The following is a 6,381-nucleotide window of genomic DNA, read 5'->3' as shown; positions in this document are numbered from 1 at the left end:
AGGCCAAAGTGGGTGGATCACCTGAGGCCAGGAGTTCGAGACCAGCCTGGCCAACATGGTGAAACCCCGTCTCTATTAAAAATACAAAAATTAGCCGGGTGTGGTGGAGGGCGCTTGTAATTCCAGCACTTTGGGAGGCTGAAGGGGGCAGATCACCTGAGGTCAGGAGTTCAAGATCAGCCTGGCCGACATGGCAAAATCTCCTCTCTACAAACTACAAAAAATTAGCCGGCTGTGGTGGCACGTGCCTGTAATCCCAGCTACTCGGAGGCTGAGGCAGGAGAATCGCTTGCACCCAGAAGGCAGAGGTTGGAGTGAGCCGAGATTTCACCATTGCGCTCCAGGCTGGGCGACAAGAGCGAGACTTCATCTCAAAAAGAAAAAAAAAAAAGCTAATGCATTTATAAAAGGGATTTTCTCCGAGAAAGATTATGCCTCCCGTGTCCTAGGGCACACTTGGATCTCACATAGCCACACCGGCTTTTTCTGGGACCTGCCTTGGTCTGGCACTCCCAGGTGTCCATGAAGAAAGAAGAAATACTGAAGAAGGGAGGGGAGGCCAAGTGCAGCGTCTCAAAGATCTAATTGCAACTCTGACAAGCATCAGATCAAAGGAGTCTCTCCTTGGTTCTTTGATCTCTTGATAACCACATTTAGCACTCTCCCCTGGCTGTGCCTGGGGCGGGCAGCCCTCCCTTCTAACTCCCTCATCTCTTTCTAGTTTAAATAATTCAACTGCTAATCATTTTCAAAGGAGTAAAAATAAGCAAATATTTTAAGTTCCAACTCAACTGCTAGATTTAGTGAAGTCTCTGTACCAGAATGATACCACTTTGGGAAATAAAAATAGCGTCATGAAATCCTAAAAAGAATGCTCCTTGCTTTAAATATCTGACTTCGAGCTGTGCTGTAAGTCCACAGGAATGGGGAGGGAGATGACCATAACTGTAGCTCCAGACGTGCCTGGGGCGGGGAGCTAGGGAAAGAGGTGGCTTCCTGTCTTTCTGCTGGTGGAGGCAAGACTCTGAGACATGAACCATCATCATCAGCCCGCAGCCTTCCTTCCTTTTCTTCTCCCACATTTCCAAGACAATTTGATGGGACTCTCCTCCAACTCCACATCACCCAGTGTCTTTTGGTGCTAGGTTTCCCCATGAGGTGTGACCAGCATGTTCTGCTCAGAATTTTTTTTTGAGATGGAGTTTTGCTGTGTCACCCAGGCTGGAGTGCAATGGTACTATCTTGGCTCACTGCAACCTCTACCACCTGGGTTCAAGCGATTCTCCTGCCTCAGCCTCCCAAGTAGCTGGGATTACAGGGGCGCACCACCACGCCCAGCTAATTTTTTGTAATTTTAGTAGACATGGGGTTTCACCATGTTAGCCAGGCTGGTCTTGAACTCCTGACCTCAGGTGATCCGCCTGCCTTGGCCTCCCAAAGTGTTGGGATTATAGGCGTGAGCCACCGCGCCCAGTCAGAAATGGTCTTTATTAAAATATTAGGGAGTGGGGAGAAAAGTCGTGCTATGGAACTTGCTTTTACCCCAAGGTTGCCAGATTTAGCAAATAAAAACGCAGGACACCCAATTGACTTGACTTCGAAATTCAGATAAACAAGGAATAATATTTTTGCATAAGTATGTCCAGATATTGCACAGGACACACTTACACTACAACATTATTCATTGTTTATCTGAAATTTAAACTTAACTGGATGCCCTGTATTTTATCTTGCAACTCTATCAGGGTCCTTCTATCACCAAAACTTGCTGAACCCAGCCTCAGAGTGTCACCAAAAAGAGGGATTCAGCTCTGCCCTTAAATCCCCTTGTGAATCTGGCCCAGTCCAGGCCTTTTATCGAGTGGTGGGGGAAGGGAAGGGGTCAGCGTGTGTTGAGCTCCTGCATAAAGGGGTGTCCCATTTGATCCTCACAATAACCCCATGGGTGGTTAGTATTATTTCCCTTCCACATTTGGTGAAGTAGGGCCCAGGAAAGGTAAGGAGTCTGCCGGCTTCTAACTGGAGGTAGGATTCTAACACAGGCCGTGATCTGTCAATTACCTGCTGCTGTCTCCTTCCTTCTCCTCAATGCAGCAGGACAAACCCAGAGGCTAGTAGACTTGTTCCAACATAAACAGGCTTTTTTTTTTTTTTCATTCCAGCTATCTCTTTTCATGTTAATCAAAGCTCTAGATCTTATCCTCTAGAACTCTCTGTTCTGCCATTTGAAGCAGAGGGGTGTGGGAAACCCAGGGTAAGAAAGGAGAGTAGACCTGAATGGGGGAGTCTTAGGAACTTAGTACATGAAAGGTAGTCACTAGCAGTTTTCCTCATGCAGGTAAGCCAGTGGAAACTTATTAATCTGCACTGAATTCAAGCCAGGACACCAGCATATTATGAAATCCTGACTTTCTTATTTCTTTTCTTTTTTTTTTTTTTCTTGAGACAGAGTTTCGCTCTTGTTGCCCAGGATGGAGTGCAATGGCACGATCTCGGTTCACTGCAACTTCCACCTCCTGTGTTCAAGCAATTCTCCTCCATCAGCCTCCCGAGTAGCTGGGATTACAGTCATGCGCCACCACGCCCAGCTAATTTCGTATTTTTAGTAGAGACGGGTTTTCACCATGTTGGTCAGGCTGGTTTTGAACTCCTGATCTCAGGTGATTCACCCACCTCAGCCTCCCAAAGTGCTGGGGTTACAGGTGTGAGCCACCATGCCTGGCCTGACTTTCTTACTTCTGAAGGCCACGGTTCTCAGATTGGAGCTGCCTTGGAATCACCTGGAGGGCGTGTTCAAACAGATTGCTAGTCCACCCCTAGTGTTTCTGCCTCAGTGGGTTTACAGTGGAGCCTGAGAATCTGCATTTCTGATAAATTCCCAGACGATGCTGACACTGCTGGTCTGGGGAGTTCACTGATACGGTTTGGCTGTGTCCTCACCCAAATCTCATCTTGAATTGTAGCTCCCATAATTCCCATGCAGTGTGGGAGGGACCTGGTGGGTGATAATTGAATCATGGGGGTGGTTTCCCCCATACTGTTCTCTTGGTAGTGAATAAGTCTCATGAGACGTAATGATTTTATGAGGGGACACCCCTTTTGCTTGGTTCTCATTCTCTATCTTGTGTGCAGCCACGTAAGATATACCTTTTGCCTTCTGCTGTGATTGTGAGGCCTCCTCAGCCATGTGGAACCGTGAGTCCGTTAAAGCTCTTTTTCTTTATAGATTACCCAGTCTCAGGTATGTCTTTATCAGCAGTGTGAAAACGGACTAATACGCCACTTAGCGAACCGCTGCTCCAGGACCAGAAAGGGGGCTTCACTAAAAATAATGACAGTATTTGGAACTTAGGTTCACATATACTTTGGAATTCAAGACCATTCTACACCTCTCATCCCTGCCATTCAAAAATGTCCTGCAATCCTCTCTCTCCATTGAAGTCTACATTTATTCCTTTACTCACTCATCCCCATAGATATGAAGTAAGCGTGGACAATGTAACACATACCATCTGGATCCTCAGACACACAGAGATGAACTGGACCCAGTTCCGGCCAGTACACCGGGGACAATTATGTAAGCAAAATAACACCAGTGGAGTAGGAGAGGTTATAATAGAAGCAGATAAAGTCATCCAGAAAGGAAGAGAGAAAAGGAAGGGAAGATTCTCCAGGGATTTACCCTTTGAGCTGAGTTTGGAAGGCTGGGGATGGGGTTACAAGAGGAAAGGATAGTCCACATGGAGGCATGAGACAACATGGCAAGCTCAAGGGCTGCAAGAAGCTTACATGGTTGACTTGGTGATAGATGGGCAATTAGTGTCAGGAAGCCCGGCAGGGGGGTTATACTGAGATGCTTGGCTTTCTTTTCTTTTACAATGATGATGAGGCATTGGGTGGTCTTTAGTGGAGGATGGCATTAATAAGGCCTATAATCTGGAGAGTGATTGAGTGGAGGGGTGAGTGTCTTAGTCGGCTAGGGCTGCTATAACAGGATACCATAGACTAGATAGCTTACAGACAACAGAAATTTGCCTCTCACACTTCTGGAGGCTGGGAAGTCCAACATTAAGGCAGATTCAGTGTCTGCTGAGGGCCCACTTTCTGGCCCATAGACAGCAACCTCTTGCCGTGTCCTCACTTGGTGGAAGGGGTGAGAGGGATCTCAGGGGTCCCTTTTATAAGGGCACTAATCTTATTCATGATGTCTCCGCCTTCATGATCTAATCACCTCCTAAAACACCCATCTCCTAATACCATCACCTTGGGTGGCTAGGATTTCAACATACGAATTTTGGAGGTCATAAACATTTAGACCATAGCAGTCAGGAAAATCCCACCACGAGGCTATTGCAATAGGACCCACTAGAGATGATACTGGTGTGAATAAGAGTGGGATCTCTCCGAGTTGAATGGAAAAAAAAACTCTGATGGTCCAAAAATGAAACATTTATGTCCACTCTTGTTACCCTCCACCAATAAAAGCAACCTAACTAAGTTTGGGGGAACAAGATGCAAATATTCCTGTATTTTTTTTTTTTTTTTTTTGAGACGGAGTCTGGCTTTGTCGCCCAGGCTGGAGTGCAGTGGCACGATCTTGGCTCACTGCAAGCTCCGCCTCCCGGGTTCACGCCATTTTCCTGCCTCAGCCTCCCGAGTAGCTGGGACTATAGGTGCACGGCACCACGCCCTGCTAATTTTTTGTATTTTTAGTAGAGACAGGGTTTCACCGTGTTAGCCAGGATGGTCTCGATCTCCTGACCTCATGATCCGCCCACCTCGGCCTCCCAAAGTGCTGGGATTACAGGCTTGAGCCACCGCGCCCGGCCATATTCCTGTATGTTTTATGCTGCTATCTTAGTCTGCAACTTATTTAAACTGCATATCTGTTCCAATAATTTCCACCTTTTAAAGGATTACTCTAATTCATTACTATTTGTTCAATTTTGCTCTCTTTCCCATTCCTAGATGTTTATTTATTCATCCAAAATCATTTAGTAGCTTACTGGCTGGGAGAGAAGACAAAGCAGATAGAGGGATAGTTGAAATTCAGTGTGGCACGCAGTGTAACAGCGGTTCTTACTAATACCTGTGAGATGACAGAGGAGGGAAAGATGAACTTAAAAACAGCCAATGATATTAATTTTCTTTTATTTTCTCTCTCTCTTTTTCTTTCTTTCTTTCTTTTTTTTTTTTTGAGACAGAGTTTCACTCCCTTTGCCCAGGCTGGAGCGCAACAGCACAATCTTGGCTCACTGCAATCTCTACCTCCTGGGTTCAAGCGATTCTTCTGCCTCAGCCTCCTGAGTACCTGGGATTACAGGCACCCACTGCCACGCCCAGCTAATTTTTGTATTTTTAGTAGAGACGGGGTTTCACCATTTTGGCCAGGCTGGTCTTGAACTCCTGACCTTAGGTGATCTGCCCGCCTCGGCCTCCCAAATTGCTGGGATTACAGGCCTGAGCCACCGTACCGGCCAATTAATTTTCAAATCACTTTGAAATGAATTTTATGGACTTGAAAAAAAATACTAATTTATTCCCTAAATTGAAAACTACTTCCAAGAAAATCATGGGTTTTTTTTTGGTTTTTTTTTTGTTTGTTTGTTTGTTTTGTACAATGCCTAATATAGTACTCTAGCATAGGCACCTGATAAATATATTTTGGCCATTGAAAAAAAACTAAATGGTTTTAACATATTAATCTCACTAGAATATTAAAATTCTAAAATAAGTAGAACAATTTCCATTATCTGACTTTCTGTAAATACAAATATTTTACTTAATTTTTAAAGAAATGTTTTTAGTTGTAGTAAGAAAGTGCAAAAACCTAGCCTTGAAGAGAGTTTGCCTTTCAGTGCGTAATGTATAGTTAATGCAATCAGAGCTTGTTTGGAGCGATTCGACACCAAAGAAGAAAAATATACCCATCTTCAGGAGTTATAATTTTAGACGATAGTGTTTTCATAAATCACTCTTATTTGCATGTTGGGAATTTGAGTTACAGCATTAACATGATAAATCAATGGAATCTCTTTAAATAGGGCAAGTTTTAAAAATCATCTTCCAGTGATTCGATGCCAAATATTTGATTGGAAGTGACACAAGTTAGACTGAAGGGAAAAAACCCTCCTCTGGGCCTCCTGTGGCTACAAGGTCAACTGAAATCCCAAAGATGGTGGTTCCTTCCTAGCTCGATAAATGACCTTTGGCAAGTCACAGAAAGAGCTGTTGCCCACTGCGGCATCCACAAAGAGTCATCGTCTGCCTTTATGAGCAGACAGCAGCTCTGTCCATCAAGAGACCAAAAATGTAAATGATCCCTCCAAAGCCTAGTGTCCTGATCTCACAGCAGGGAAAACCCAAGCTTTCACAGCCAAA

At 44.8% G+C, this 6,381-nt stretch overlaps 1 annotated feature.

The window, feature by feature from the left end:
- Positions 453-1,308: an enhancer, noted in NCBI's record as "NANOG-H3K27ac-H3K4me1 hESC enhancer chr6:21393485-21394340 (GRCh37/hg19 assembly coordinates)". NCBI's record gives its function as "activates a minimal SCP1, AML or CMV promoter by ChIP-STARR-seq in naive H9 embryonic stem cells {active_cell/tissue: H9 hESC(naive)}" and the evidence as "EXISTENCE:reporter gene assay evidence [ECO:0000049][PMID:30033119]".

Source organism: Homo sapiens, chromosome 6, assembly GCF_000001405.40.
Source record: "Homo sapiens chromosome 6, GRCh38.p14 Primary Assembly".
Lineage (NCBI taxonomy): Eukaryota > Metazoa > Chordata > Mammalia > Primates > Hominidae > Homo > Homo sapiens.
The sequence above is the reverse complement of the archived record's forward strand: the minus strand, read 5'-3'. Positions and strand labels throughout refer to the sequence as shown.